We start from the raw sequence: 15,509 nt of genomic DNA, 5'->3' as shown, positions 1-15,509 counted from the left end.
TACAAACACAAAAAAACTGACAAATCCTCCATCGTACAGCATTAAAAAGCTGATGGAATAGTAAGAAAGAGATAAATAAATCATTCAGAGACACTTCTGCTTTTTTTTTTTTTTTTTTTTTGAGACAGAGTTTCACTCCGTCACCCAGGCTGGAGTGCAGTGGCATGAACACAGCTCACTGCAGCCTCAACCTCCTGGGCTCAAGCAGTTCTCCTGCCTCAGCCTCCCAAATAGCTGGGACCACAGATGCAGGCCACTACACCAGGCTAATTTTTTTTTTTTTTGAGACAGAGTCTCGCTCTGTCACCTAGGCTGGAGTGCAGTGGCGCGATCTCAGCTCACCACAACCTCCGCCTCCCAGGTTAAAGTGATTCTCCTGCCTCAGCCTCCTGAGAAGCTGGGACTACAGGCACGTGCCACCACACCCAGCTAAATTTTGTATTTTTAGTAGAGACGGGGTTTCACTGTGTTAGCCAGGATTTCACTGTGTTAGCCAGGATGGTCTCAAACTCCTGACCTCATGATCCACCTGCCTCAGCCTCCCAAAGTGCTGGGATTACAGGCGTGAGCCACCGTGCCTGGTAACACCAAGCTAATTTTTTAAATTTTTAATGGAAACTTGGTCTCACTATGTTGCCCAGGCTGGTCTCAAATTTCTGGGCTCAGGTGATCCTCCTGCCTCAGCCCCACAACGTGCTGGTATTATAGGCATGACCCACCACAACCAGCCACTTTTGCATTTTATTATCCAAAGCAAAATAAGTATGAAACTAAAAACTCTGTTTGGAAGGGTTTACCAAAGTTGAGAAGTCTAATAGGAAACTGACCCACATTAAGCTGAGTGGCTCTAGCTGGGGGATGCACTTGTCAGGGTAGGAGTATAACAGATGGAAAGCAAACCCCTTGAATTCCCCCCTGAGCAACGCCCTTGAATTCCCCTCAGAGGAACCCCTCTGAATTCTCAGGGGGGTGTAGGGACAAGTACCTTGATGCTGAGCAAGGCAGGAATAACTAACAACCCATCCCTGATAGGTTGTAAGCAGAGGCTAGCCCTAGTGTGGATTTATGTTCTAAATTTGTGTCACAAGATTAGTCCAATAAACTTAAGGTGATTAATTAGAGCATTATACAGAACTAATATTGCAGCTACATATCTGACAGAAGCAAACTCAAAATTATCTTGGAATAAGGGTATATTTATCCTAAACTTGGGAAATCCTCTCAAATAATATTCAACGTCAGGCTAGGAGTGGCAGCTCAGGCCTGTAATCCCAGCACTTTGGGAGGCTGAGGTGGGAGGATTACTTCAGCCATGGAGTTCAAGACCAGCCTGGGCAACACAGGGAGACCCTGTCTCTACAAAAAAAAAAATTTAAAAATTAGCTGTGCTTGGTAGTGGTGCATCTGTAGTCCCAGCTACTCAGGGGGCTGAGGTGGGAGGATTACTTGAACTCAGGGGGTCAAGGCTGTAGTGAGCCATGATTGCACCACTGCATTCCAGCCTGGGCAACAGAGTGAGACCCTATCTCAAAAACAATAAGAATTATTATTATTATTATTTTCAAGGTCAAAGGGTAGCCCCAGCCAAATATAATCAAAGGCACAATGCAACAAAGCAACATAAGACCATAGAGACAAATCCACATAGGCCTCAGATATTGAAATTATGAGACATATTTTAAAATAAACATTCCTACAATACTTAAATAAAACAACCTTGAAAATATCTACAGGAAGAGAAAACTACAAGGAAGCATCATAGATTTGCAAAAGAACAAAATAGCACTTTTGAAACTGCAAAATAAAATAACCAAATTTTAAAACACAACATATGGGTTTGGGAATTGGTTAGACACAGTAGAAGAGACAATCAGTAAGTGGAATGTAGATCAGAAGAAATGATATAGAATGTAGCATAGAAAACAAACAAAAAGGAAAACATGAAAGAAAGGTTTAGAGACCCAGAGGATAAAGTGAAATGATTAAACATGTGCTTAATCTGAATTCCAGAAGGAGAAGATAAGATGAAGTAGAGGTAGTATTTGAAGAAATAATGGATGAGGATTTTCTAGAATCAGTGTTTAAGACACCAGTCCATAGATTCAAGAAGCCCAACAAATACCAAATATTTAAACTGAAGTTCACACCTAGACATGTCAAAGTAAAATTGAAGAACACCAGCAACAAATAGAAGCATCTTAAAAGCAGCCAGAGGATAGTCTACTGCCACTTCAAGGGAGTGGCAGTAGACTCAAAGAGGATTTCTCAAGAGTAAAAGCAGAAGACCAAAGATAATACAATGATATATTCAATATACTGAAAGGAAACAAATGCTGACCTAGAATTCCATATCCAGTGAAAATTCTCCCTCAAGAATGTTGGCAAAATAAAGACATTTTATGATAAACATAAACAGAGACTCTCACTGAAGGGTACACTAAAGTATGTACCTCAGTCAGAAAGAAGATGATTCTAGAAAGTTCTAGGATATAAAAAAGATTGAAAAGCAAATAGAGTGGTAAACCTGTGTATAAATGTAAACAAATATTAAATTCATGACATGCAGTAAAAATGGTTATTGGACCTCATAAGATTTAATTACAATATAACATTGTAATTGCATAAATTACAACTTGTAAAAACAAGAACTATAAGACAGGAACAATAGAAATAGAGTTAAAATTTCTACTTTAGTTGTTTGTCTTTGTGGTTTTTTTTGTTGTTGTTTGTTTTTGTTTTGTTTTTGTTTTTGTTTTGGTAATGTCTGTAATAAGGGCAAAGGTAGTTGGTTAATTTTAAACTTTGAAAATTAAATATACTCCCCCAAAAAGGCAAGGAATGAGAGAAAAAGAAACCTGCAACAGGTAGTATAAATATAATCTATGAAATAAGTTTTTTTTTTTTTTTTTTTGGAGACGGAGTTTCGCTCTTGTTGCCCAGGCTGGAGTGCAATGGTCCCATCTCGGCTCACCACAACCTCCACCTCCCGGGTTCAAGAGATTCTCCTGCCTCAGCCTCCCAAGGAGCTGTGATTACAGGCATGCGCCACCATGCCTGGCTAATTTTGTATGTTTAGTAGAGACGGGGTTTCTCCATGTTGGTCAAGCTGGTCTCAAACTCCCAACCTCAGTTGATCCACCCACCTCAGCCTCCCAAAGTGCTGAGATTACAGGCGTAAGCCACCGCACCCGGCTGAAACAAGATGTATACAGGACTATCAGAAGCCACATTAATACAAAATAGGGTATATGCAACAGTTAAAAGACCAAGATTGTCAGACTATGTCCTTAATAAACTATGTATTGTCTACTAGAAATCAAGTTGAAAACATATGAATACCAAGAGGTTGAAAGTAAAAAGATGGAAACAAGTATACCATGCAAATACAAACCAAAAAACAAACTGACGTAACTTTGTTAGTATCAGGCAAAATATCTTTTCTTTTTTTTTTTTGAGATGGAGTCTCGCTCTGTCTCCCAGGCTGGAGTGCAGTGGTGCAATCTCAGCTCACTGCAACCTCCACTTCCCAGGTTCAAGAGATTCTCTGCCTCAGCTTCCCGAGTAGCTGAGATTACACACATGCGCCATGACGCCTGGCTAATTTTTGTATTTTTAGTTGAAACGAGGTTTCCTCATGTTGGCCAGGCTGGTCTTGAATTCCTGGTCTCAAGTGATCTACCCATATCGGCCTCCCAAAGTGCTGGGGTTACAGATGTGAGCCACCGTGCCCGGTCAGTATCGGGCAAAATATCCAACGTAAAAAGAGATACAGAAGACCTTTGCTTTTTTTCTTTTTCTTTTTCTTTTTCTTTTTTTTTTTTTTTTTGAGATGGAGTCTCACTCTGTCACCCAGGCTGGAGTGCAATGGTGCGGTCTCGGCTCACTGCAACCTCCACCTCCCGGGTTCAAGTGATTCGGCCTCAGCCTCCCGAGTAGCTGGGACTACAGGTGTATGCCACCACACTCAGCTAATTTTTGTATTTTTAGTAGAGATGGGGTTTCACTGTGTTGGCTAGGCTGGTGTCAGACTCCTGACCTCATGATCCGCCCATCTCTGCCTCCCAAAGTGTTGGATTACAGTAGTGAGCCACCACGCTGGGCCCAGATTTTTTTTTTTTTTTTTTTTTTTTTTTTTGAGACGGAGTCTCGCTTTGTTGCCCAGGCTGGAGTGCAGTTGCACGATCTCAGCTTACTGCAACCTCTGCCTCCTGGGTTCATGTAATTCTCCTTCCTCAGCCTCCCAGGTAGCTAGGATTACAGGTGTGTACCAGCATGCCCAGCTAATTTTTGTATTTTTAGTAGAGATGGGATTTCACCATGTTGCCCAGGCTGGTCTCGAACTTCTGACCTCAAGTGATCTACTTGCCTCAGCCTCCCAAAGTGCTGGGATTAGGGGCGTGAGCCACTGCGCCTAGCCCTGATGGTTTTTTTGTTTGTTTGTTTTTGAGAGGGAGTCTCACTCTGTGGCCCAGTCTGGAGTGCAGTGGCATGATCTTGGCTCACTGCAACCTCCACCTCCTGGGTTCAAGCAATTCTCCTACCTTGGCCTCCCAAGTAGCTGGGATTACAGGCACACGCCACCATGCCTGGCTAATTTTTGTATTTTTAGTAGAGACAGGGGTTCACCATGCTGGCCAGGCTGGTCTCAAACTCCTAACCTTGTGATCCACCCACCTTGGCCTCCCAAAGCTGATGGTTTTAAATTAAGGATTTTAGGATATAGTTTGAGCTGAGGAATATAGAAAGCATTACATATCAAAACTCATGAGATACAGCTAACACTATATTTAGAGGGAAAGTTATAGCCTTAAATGTGTTTATTAAAGACGAAAGTCTGAAATTTAATGAGCAAAACATCTTCAAGAAGTAAGGAGGGCCCAGTGTGGTGGCTCATGCCTGTAATTCCAGCTACTCAGGAAGCCAAGATGCAAGGATTACTTGAGGCCAGGAATTCCAGGCAAGCCTGAACAACATAGCAAGATCTTGTATTTTAAAAAAAATTTAAGTAAGGAGGGAATGGAAAGAGCTAATTAACGGTTTCGAAGTTAAAATTATTTAGGAGGAATAGTGCTAATGTCCTTATTGCACAGTAGGTTGACTATAGTTAACAATAATGTATTGAATATTTCAAAAAAGCTAGAAGAAAGGATTTTGAGTTTTCACTAAAAAAAGATAAATGTTGAGGTGATGGATATGCTAATTATACTGATTTGATCATTACACAAAGTATGCATATATTGAAACATCACATTGTACCCATAAATATGTACAATTATTATGTGTCAATTAAAATTTTTAATTAATTTTTTTCAGAGAAAAAATTTAATCTCTTAAAAGCTTCCTTTTCTTTTTTTTTTTTTTTTTTTTTTTTTTTGAGACAGGGTCTCACTCTGTCACCCAGGCTGGAGTGCAGTGGCACCATCACAACTCACTGCAGCCTTGACCCCCTGGGCTCCAGCCATCCTCCCACTTCAGCCTCCTAAGTAGCAGGGACAACAGGCACATGCCACCATGCCCAGCTAATTTTTTATTTTTTGTAGAGACAGGGTCTCACTATGTTGCTCAGGCTGGTCTCAAAGTCTTATTCGCAAGAAATCCTCCCATCTTGGCCTCCCAAAGTGCTGGGATTACAGGTGTAAGCTGCCACTCCCGGCCAAGTGTGCCTTTTTGACAATAAAATTCTACCCTTTCTTATGAAAAAAAAAGAAAAAACACCAAAAGAATTTTTTTTAATGTGGAAGAAAGAAATACATGTAATACATGTAAAAGCAGAAATTAATGAAATAGAAAAATACGTATTCAATAGAGAACATCAACAAAGTCAACAGTTTTTTATTTTCAAGTACTAATAAGTTGATAAACTCAGGGATGAAAAGTGTTTCCTCACCTCTGTAAGTGTTTTAGCCTAAGAGCTAAAGAAATCTTTCTTTATTAGGAAAGTCTGTATCCACCCTCTGAAACAATGAATGTGACTGTAATCCCAGCACTTTGGGAGACCGGAGCAGGTGGATCACCTGAGGTTGGGAGTTCGAGACTAGGCTGACCAACGTGGAGAAACCCCATCTCTACTAAAAATACAAAATTAGCCGGGCATGGTGGCACATGCCTGTAATCCCAGCTACTCGGGAGGCTGAGGCAGGTGAATCGCTTGAACCCAGGAGGCGGTGGTTGCGGTGAATTGAGATTGCGCCATTGCCCTCCAGCCTGGGCTTCAAGAGCGAAACTCCATCTCAGAAAAAAAAAAAAGAAAGAAAGAAAGAAATATTGTCTCTACTAAAAATACAAAAAAAAAAAAAAAATTAGCCGGGTGTGGTGGTGGGCCCCTGTAATCCCAGCTACTCAGGAAGCTGAGGCAGGAGAATCACCTGAACCGAGACGTGGGGGTTGCAGTGAGCCAAGATCATGTCGCTGCACTCCAGCCTGGGTGACAGAGAGACTCTGTCTCAAAAAAAAAAAAAAAGAAAGAAAGAAAGAAAAAAAAGAAAACCAGGGTTCAAGGCTAGCCTTTTCTCTTCTACTTCTTTCTTCCCTCTTCTCCTTTCCCTTCCCTCTCACCACCATCTCAGATCTATCACATGTAATGTTACTTCCGTTGGCCAAGCAAGGCCTCCATCAGGCACTGCTGCCTCTCTCTGCCGAGTTGTTGCAAAGATTATTCTGCCTTGGGTTTGTTCATCCATTGCAGAAAAGGGAAGAAAGCAGGCTTGGACTTTTTGCCGTCTGTTACAAAACTCCTATTGTATCAGAGTCCCATGAATCCCTCTGCTACAGGAGTCCACGATGTAAGAGCTTCTCTCCCTCTTCAACAATTGAAACAGGAAATTTGTTTTTTTTTTTGTTTTTTAATTTTGATGCTGTTTCTGTGGGAAAGGGTGAGGATGGATTGTTCTTCGCAACTCTCACTTAAAGAAAATGTCTCCTAACTCTTTTATCTTCATGCCGAATGTGCTAAGAATCTCACAATCAGTTTGTTTATGGCAAATGCCCCCCTCCAAAAGGAGCCTGTTGTTTTTCACCCCAACTGTGGACGTTAAGACAGTTCTCTCACCCAAACGTTTTTGAGATAATGGGCATTTTCCTGTTTTGGTGACACCTGTTCTTCATACTTTACCTCTACTCTCCCATCAGCTTAACCACAGTATCATAACGTGGCCATCACGTACCTTCTGCGGTGTATAGTCCCGTGATCACTAAACAATGGTTAGCGATAATAACAATAACCAAAAGAGAAGAGAAATGCCCCTGCTTTAATTAGGTTAAGGGCGTGTAAATATCCATGGAACTGTGTCAGAAATTCAGACGTAAGGATTAGGACCATGTTGGCAAAAAATTCTGTGGGCTTTCGGGGCAGAAGAGGACATGAATAGAACAGATAGTAAACTCTCCCATGCCTCCCAAGAGCTAGTTTCCCCTGAACGGTGTCAGTGCAGAGGCTGTCAATCTTCTCGGATGATATCCCTCTCTATGGCGCTTAGCTTACAATATTATAGTTCTTTGTTTACCACTGACTGAGGGAGCCTTCATGACAAGTGGCATAGGATTTTAATTCTCATATTCATGGTACCAAGGACAGCACATCTAGCCCATAGTAGGTCCTCAGTCAAGGCTTCCATGACTCCATTCACAGACTGAGAGGGAGTCTACATGTTTCCTTTCAGCATGTCTAACACAGATGTCAGCTGAGGTGCCCCTTCGCTTTAAAAATCTAGATAAGATTTGGCCAGGCACAGTGGCTCACGCCTGTAATCCCAGCACTTTGGGAGGCCGAGGCAGGTGGATCACTTGAGGTCAGGAGTTTGAGACCAGCCTGGCCGACATGGTGAGAAACCTCATCTCTACTAAAAATACAAAAATTAGCCAGGTGTGGTGGTGGGCGCCTGTAATCCCAGCTACTAGGGAGGCTGAGGTAAGAGAATCGCTTGAACCTGGAAGTGGAGATTGCAGTGAGCCGAGATTGCGCCACTGCACTCCAGCCTGGGCCACAGAGCAAGACTCTGTCTCAAAAAAAAAAAAAAAATCTAGATGAGGTTTGTCTTTAAAACCTTCCACAATTTCTGTGAACACCTGGAAGGCTCACTTTCTCATGGTTTCCTCAGTCTAGACATTCTGCCTCTGCCTCCACTGAATCCATTCAGTTCATGAACGATCTCACCATCCTACACATTCTTTAGCAGTATCTTGACTCAAATGTGAAACAGAGTCCCTTGAATTTCACAAAAAACTTATCCACATCAGGCCTCTTTAATGTGTAAAAACTTTACAGAAGCATTAAAGAGATGGAGGAGGAGGTGCGGTCTACAGTGTCACAGCACAAGCTCAATATATTGACTATTAAATATCCCAGTGTGTAAAAGATATTCTACCACCATCCATTTTCTTGATCATCCTTTTGTCTTCACTCTTCTCTTCTTTGTCCACCCCCACCTCTGAATTTCTAATAATTTTAAAATTAAACCTGTCCCATCTATATTCCTGAAATGACACATCCTTGCCTTTCTTCTCCACATCCAGCTTCTGAGGAAGGGGCCCTAAGAAGCATGAAGCTTCCACGGGCTAAGGGGGAGGGAGAGAGGAGTCAGAAAGGAAGCAGAAGAGTTGGGAGCTTCCCGGAGAAGAGTCCCGGCACTGCTGCCTCCCATGGCCAAGCCCTTGGGATAAGGAAGCACAATAAAATCCCCACCCAGGTTTTGGGATGTGAGAAAATAAGGCTTCGGGGCCACGTTTCCAATGTCAAGCTTGGGGAGGAAGCAAGATCCCTGAGTTCCCCATCACAGTGCAAGGGCAGACGCAACACAGTGTGGGTTGTGTCTGCATGTGGACCAAGGCAGCCTGCAAGAGTTCTCATGAACCAGCCATGGAGGGGAAAGAGTAGGATGGTTTCCCACACCAGCTTGAGCAGCAGGAAGCAGAAAAGGCCCTCGATAGCTCCAGTAAGTCTTCTGAGGCTACAGAGAAGAGCAAGAGAAAATGGAGCATTTCCCATGTCCGAAAAGGAGTGCCAAGGGATCTGAGTGAGACATGGCCCAGTATGTGGGAATGGATCAGCTTAGCAGGTGACTTCATGGTTGGATGGTTGAGGCCCAGACAGGATGCAGTTACAGGGAGGAGCTGACATCAGCAAATCACAAAGACCAGAGTCACACTCGCAAAATTGCAACACCAGATATTACTGAGGAAAGGGGAGATGGGTGAAATGCTGAATTGACTGAGATTAAGCCCCTGCCTTCTGGGGGAAATGAGGTCTGAAAATAAAAATGAAGTTCAGTTCTAGAAGGAAGTTTACTGTTGACACCCATGTTTCTCTCTCCTAACACTATTGGGCAGGAGCCACCTCCCTGGTGTCAGCAAATGTTTTACAGTCTTTTGTTCTTTCTTAGTGGGTGTTACTTTATTCTCCTCCAGATAGATCAGCATATTTATTTAAAAGTACTTTCCACACTATCCTATTACAGTGATTTCATCTCAGGTGAGCTGCTGTTTGGATTGTTGATCTTGTTCACTGTTTTAGAACTATATTTCTTCCTTGGGCTATGGAACTGTGGTGTGCACACTCATTTTAAATGAGAGATTTTCTATTTGTTTGTAAATATTTGTTGCTCTTTCTCTCGCAGTCTCTCTCTATTTCCCTCTTTCTCTCCTTTTCTACTAATCCATCTTTGTATAGAAATTTTGAAGTTGCCCCTGTACTGGGTATTGTTGATGTCCTACCAAAAAAACCTATATCTGCTTGTGCACAACTCCCCTAACTGCTGTGAGGGTTGATTGCTCCCTTTCCCCAGAGAACTATTTGTTTAATGGGAAGATGCCTCATTGACATATGGATAAAAAAGGCCAGACCCAGCCAGGGGCAGTACCTCATGCCCCTGTAATCCCAGCACTTTGGGAGGTCAAGGTGGGAGGATCATTTGAGCCCAGGACTTTGAAACCAGCCTGGGCAACATAGTGAGACCCCATCTCTGCAAATTAAAATTTAAAAATTATATGGGCATGGTAGTGTATGCCTGTAGTCTCAGCTACTCAGGAGGCTGAGGTGGGAGGATCACTTGAGCTTGGGAGGTTGAGGCTGCAGTAAGCCATGATCATGCCACTGCACTCCAGCCTGAGTGACAGAGTGAGACCCCGTCTCAAAAATAAAAATAAAGAGTTGACACCCTTTGCCTCAAAGTGGGATTCATTCTGTCACATAATTCATGCTCCAAAACCTCCATGAGATCAAGCTAGGGCTAGACTCCAGCAGGGAACTCGTGATGGTTAATTTTATGTGCCAACTTGACTAGGTTACAGGGTGCGCAGACATTTGGTCATACAGCATTCTGGGTGTATCTGTGTGTGTGTATCTGGATGGCACTAACATTTGAATTGGTAAATTGAGTGAAGCAGATCACCCACCCTAATGTGGGTGGGTCTCATCCAATTAATTGAGAGTCTGAATAGACCCTTTCGTAAGTAAGAGGGGACTCCTCCTTCCTGACTGACTTGAGCTGGGACATCAGTCTTTTCCTGCCTTCAGACTCTTAATGGAAACATCAACTCTTTTAGGGTCTCAAGATGGCCAGGTTTTGGACTTACACCATAGGCTCTACTGGTCCTTAGGCCTTTGGACTGAGGCTGGAACCACATCCTCAGCTCTCCTGGATCTCCAGCTTGGCAACTGCAGACCTTGGGACATTTCAGATTCCATAATCATGTAAGCAAATTTTTTATGATATTTATAAATTTATGGATATAGATAGATAATAGAGACACAGCTATAGATATGGATATAGATACAGATAGATTAATGATATAGATATAGATGTGGATATGGGTATATATCCTATTAGTTCTGATTCTCTGGAGAACCCTAATACAGAGCACATTCTTATTTAGCTTCTTCCCCTTCCTGGTCCTATTTCTTTCCCTCCCTCCCCCTCTCCAGGAAGCATCTCCAATAAATCACTGGCACTAGAATCCCTGCCTCAGGTTCTGCTTCTCAGGAACCCAGTCTAAGACTCCTTCCAGTTAGCAGCCTAGAGTTGCAATCCAAAATCAGGTCTTCTGTTAGTGGTTTGAATCTCACATCCTGTAATGGTTTGCGCATACCACAGTTCTAGTTGTTGAGCAGGGAGCTTAGGGGTTGCTTCAAATCTTAGTCATGAGTTTGTGTTTATCCTCCAGCCTAACAAGGCCTACAGCTGCCAACCAGCAGTTTGTCTCTTTGCAGATGAGGAGTAGCTCTGCCTTGCCCTAGCCTCTGACTGCAGCCCCCCTCCCCATATTAGATGGAGCAGAGTTACCCTACAGGATCTGAGCTCCTGGCAGCTGCTGCTTGCTTCAAGTGCCAAAACCCAGAGGACTTACAATCTCAGCTTTGCTCAACACTTTGCTTCTATTCCCTAATTCTTGTCCTCAAAGATGCTTAATCCTATTTGTTTGTTTGTTTGAAATAGTATTTATTTTTCATTGATGTACAATTTACATACCATAAAACATGTAGACTTTTAAGTGTATAGTACAATGAGTTTTGATAAATTTATATTAGGTTGGTGCAAACATAATTGTGGTTTTGGCCATTGAAAGTAATGGCCAAAACCGCAATTAGGCCAGGCGTGGTGGCTCATGCCTGTAATCCCAGCACTTTGGGAGGCCAAGGCGGGCAGATCACTTGAGGTCAGGAGTTCAAGACCAGCCTGGTCTCGAATGTGGCAAAACCCCGTCTCTACTAAAAAATACAAAAATTAGCTGGATGTGGTAGCATGCAAGCATGCACCTGTAATCCTAGCTACTGGGGAGGCTGAGGCATGAGAATTGCTTGAACCCAGGAGGTGGAGGTTGCAGTGAGCCAAGATTGCACCACTGCACACCAGCCTGGGCAACAAAGTGAGACTCCTTCTCAAAAAAAAAATGCAATTATGTTTGCACTAACCAAATATATATATACACACACACACAGGTCACCCACATCCAATAAGATAGAGAATTTCCATCATCCAGAGTGTTCCCTTGCACTCTATTATAGTGGGATTTTAAGGAATCAGAGAGACTGATGGGGTTCAAGAGGATATTTCTTAATTATTTATGTGCACCAGCCCAGTTGGATTAACATCCAAAGGACTAAGCCCCGAACAAAGAGTTAAGTTACCTTTTAAGCATTTCGTGGGTGAGGGGAGATCTGTGCAGGGGGAAGCATACTACAGAAGTAAGAAACAAAGACAGTTATTCAATTGAGACATGCATTACATCATTTCTTACTTTTCAAGGAAAAACATGTTTTGTGACTTGAGTTTATCTGTCTAGTGACCTTGCAGCTGCACAGCCAGGGAAACAGGGTCTTCACAATGCCTGGTAAGGGAGGAGAGATAAGGCTTACTAGCCACAGAAAAACAGGCGGGTTTTAAGGACTCCAGCTCTTTCTCTTTCTTAGGGGGAATTGGGTTTTCTTACATACAACTGAGTTTCTGCTTACACATTCTTTAATTTCTCTTAATTCCTGTTCTGTTCCCCTCTTTGGTGCTTTTTATAACAGAGGTGTTAATAGAAAGCACCATTATTTGCCACCTCCTCTTGGAGCTGAGCTGCTTCTTCTAAACAGCAGTGGCTGATGTCTGGTTAATGTCATCAACTGCACGGTAGTGTGTCAGGCTACTATTGCCTCCATAGTTGACTGAATACTACTAATAAACAGGGGTAAAAGGCAAGGGAGGATGAAGGAGATGACAAGAATAAGCAAGAACCCACTAATGAGGGTTTTGAATCCTCCAAAGGCTGAGAACCATCCTTCATACAAGGAGTCTGGGGACCACCTGGACCAAGTCTGAACTGGAACATGGGCTAACTTGAACATTCTAGCTGTGATTTCCATGACAGCTCGGCCATTATCATCGATTTCTAGGCAACAGTTGGTTAAATTAAATTTTCCACATACTCCTCCTTCCGAGGCTAAGAGGTAATCTAAAGCCAGCCTATTTTGATATATAACATTCCTCATTTGTGTTGCTTGGATTGCCAATAAATCTAGTGCCTTTGATGTTTCATTGGTTATGATTTCAAGGACTGCCTGCAACCTTATGATGTGGTTGAGCATATAGATGGGGGTACGGTACCCCCATGACCTGTCTTGCAACCAGGTAGCTGGCCCATAGTATTTAATGATTCTTTCAGGAGGCCATTCATTATTTTTCCAGTTTCCTATGTCCATATTCTTTTTGATATTTGTGTCTATTTTTGTGATTATGCTTCTTCTAGTTTTATTTTTATCATAAACTGGATATCTTAAGAGTTCCTCTTGCCTTCGAGGAATTAGAAAGAAGGATGGCTCGATTGTTTTTAACACACATGCTCCTGTCCATTTAGCCAGCAGTTGCCGATATGCCCGTGTTCCACAGATCCAATATAGGCCAGAGGGTTCCTTCCAAGCAGTTGGAGCCTCTAGCTGATGCCAAGAGTGGCTTAGAGTAGAGAATCAAGAGAAAGGGTTTGGATCTGGTAAGTAGGAGTCGTTCTGGGCGTTTCTCCATAGAGTTTTGTTTTTAGTCTCATCATAATACTGTTGCCCTAGGCAGGTTGTTTCTCCTACTGCCTCTGTGAAAGCCTTTCCCCATCAGGCGATATAGTACTTTCCAATTATGGAGGCTTTTAACAACCAAACGCTGGCTGAGGCTTTTGGTTTACCGGCAAGGTTAGGCGAAGTGAAGTTATCTTGTGGCATTAATTCCTTTGCCTCCCACAGCCACTGGTTCCCCATATTAGTTCCTCCACGTACATAGCATGAGGAAATTCCTAAGCTGCCAGCTATGTTTTCAGCTAGCTGAGCAAATAAGTTTTTGGTTGATGGAGGAAGCTCGGGCACTGGCTGATTAAAATGCTCATAGAATGACTTATGGACCCGGAATTGCAGGGTTGGATGCATTTGAGTCCTTCTAGTCTTTTTGACAATTAGTAGTGGAACTCCAAGGCCTGCTCCTTGTCTATCAACTCATAATAGTGCTGTCTGTCCTATAGACCAAAAAGGTAGCTCTGGCTTTAAGATAGTAATATCTAAAGGATTGCATGTCCTTGTCTTACAATCTGGTTTGGTTGACATACTACTTAGTAGAGCAGTCCTTCCTGAATATAAATGTTGGAGCTGTGTTAGCGTAGACCACTGAATGTTACAGTCCGGGCATCCGATTTGTGGTTCTCCGTACAGATGTTTAGGACTGTTGCTGCTAAGCCTCTCTTGTGTCAAACCATTGCAGATTGCTTCTGGTTTTTTATGGTTATGAACATACATGGCATGGCAGGCATCAAAGTACAAGGAAATAGGCCCTTTATAGGAGGGAGGGGATTATTTGGTTTGAGCTATAAGCTCTCTTTCTTTTTCTCTCTCCGATTTAATATGAACCTCAAACCAGAATTCATAGGGTAAGAGCTTAGGGTAAGAGCTTAGCTTCCAGTGTGGTCAGAGCAGGGCAGTTGTCCTTCTTACCGGTGGTTAGGTTTCGCCGTAGGATTATTCGGGTGGGGCGATTTGGGTCTTGCTGGCTAATCCACTGGTTGTCATCGGGAGTCACTGCTGCCACTGGTTTCAGCCGGCTATGGTGAATCCAACGTGTGACACCTGCAACTTTAACAGCAGTGAGAGTAGACATGATAACAATATGGGGCCTATCCTATATGGGTCCTAGAGTGGTTGAATTCCATTTTTCAACCTAAACAAAGTCCCTAGGTTTGAAAGAGTATACAAGTCTGTTAGACTTATAGGCATTCTTTTCCATACCTAGCCATGCATCTTTTGCATGGCCATGCTTAAAGCCTGCATTTGCCTTTTTAAAGTTAGTTTTTCTAGTTTACAGAGATTACCTTTAATCTGACTTATAATGGGGGGTGGCCGGCTGAACAAAATCTCATAGGGCAAATACCCAGTTTGTTAGGTGGGGGTGCACCTGACTCGGAGGAGGACCATGGGCAAGACCTTGATTCCACCGTGAGTTTCTTGACAAAATTTCTTCAGCAGCCGTTTGAGTGTTCGGTTCATGCACTCCACTTTACCTGAGCTCTGCAGCCTGTAGGCTGTCTGTAATTTCCACTTTATTTTTAATAGTCAAGTTAAGTCCTGAACTATTTCAGCCACAAATGTTGGTTCATTGTCTGATCTTAGAGTTAGAGGCAGTCCAAATCTGGGAATAATGTCTCTTAACACCTTGGTCACCTCTAGTGCCTTCTCTGTCCAGGTGGGGAAGGCCATGACCTATCCTGAAAAGGTGCAAATGAACACCAACATGTACTGATAGCCTCCCTCTCAGGGCAATTCGGTGAAGTCCATAAGCAGTTTTTCACAGGGCATGGCTCCTGTTTCCTGAACTCCCGGGGGCCAAGTAGGCCCTTGTGGTGGATTGTTCTGAGTGCAAGTTAAACACTGTTTGTTTACAAACGGCTCGAGTAATAGCAGTGAGTCATGGCACATGGAAATGATGCCTTAATGATGTCTTTAGTGCTGTTTTTTCCATGTGAGTTCCTTGGTGGAACTCTTTTACAGATCTGGGGGCCAC

At 42.9% G+C, this 15,509-nt stretch overlaps 1 protein-coding gene across 1 annotated transcript in view, besides 1 other annotated feature; it reads left to right on the top strand.

Annotated features, from left to right (window-relative positions):
• Window positions 1–15,509, top strand: part of GLB1 (galactosidase beta 1) — a 136,039-nt gene that overhangs the window by 111,921 nt on the left and 8,609 nt on the right. The window lies entirely within an intron of this gene.
• Window positions 10,965–11,134: a silencer, noted in NCBI's record as "silent region_14181". NCBI's record gives its function as "represses an Ori minimal core promoter by ATAC-STARR-seq in GM12878 lymphoblastoid cells {active_cell/tissue: GM12878}" and the evidence as "EXISTENCE:reporter gene assay evidence [ECO:0000049][PMID:35858748]".

This window comes from Homo sapiens, chromosome 3 (genome assembly GCF_000001405.40).
Source record: "Homo sapiens chromosome 3, GRCh38.p14 Primary Assembly".
In the NCBI taxonomy this organism is placed as follows: domain Eukaryota; kingdom Metazoa; phylum Chordata; class Mammalia; order Primates; family Hominidae; genus Homo; species Homo sapiens.
Note: the sequence above shows the minus strand (reverse complement) of the source record. Positions and strands in the feature narration are given on the sequence as shown.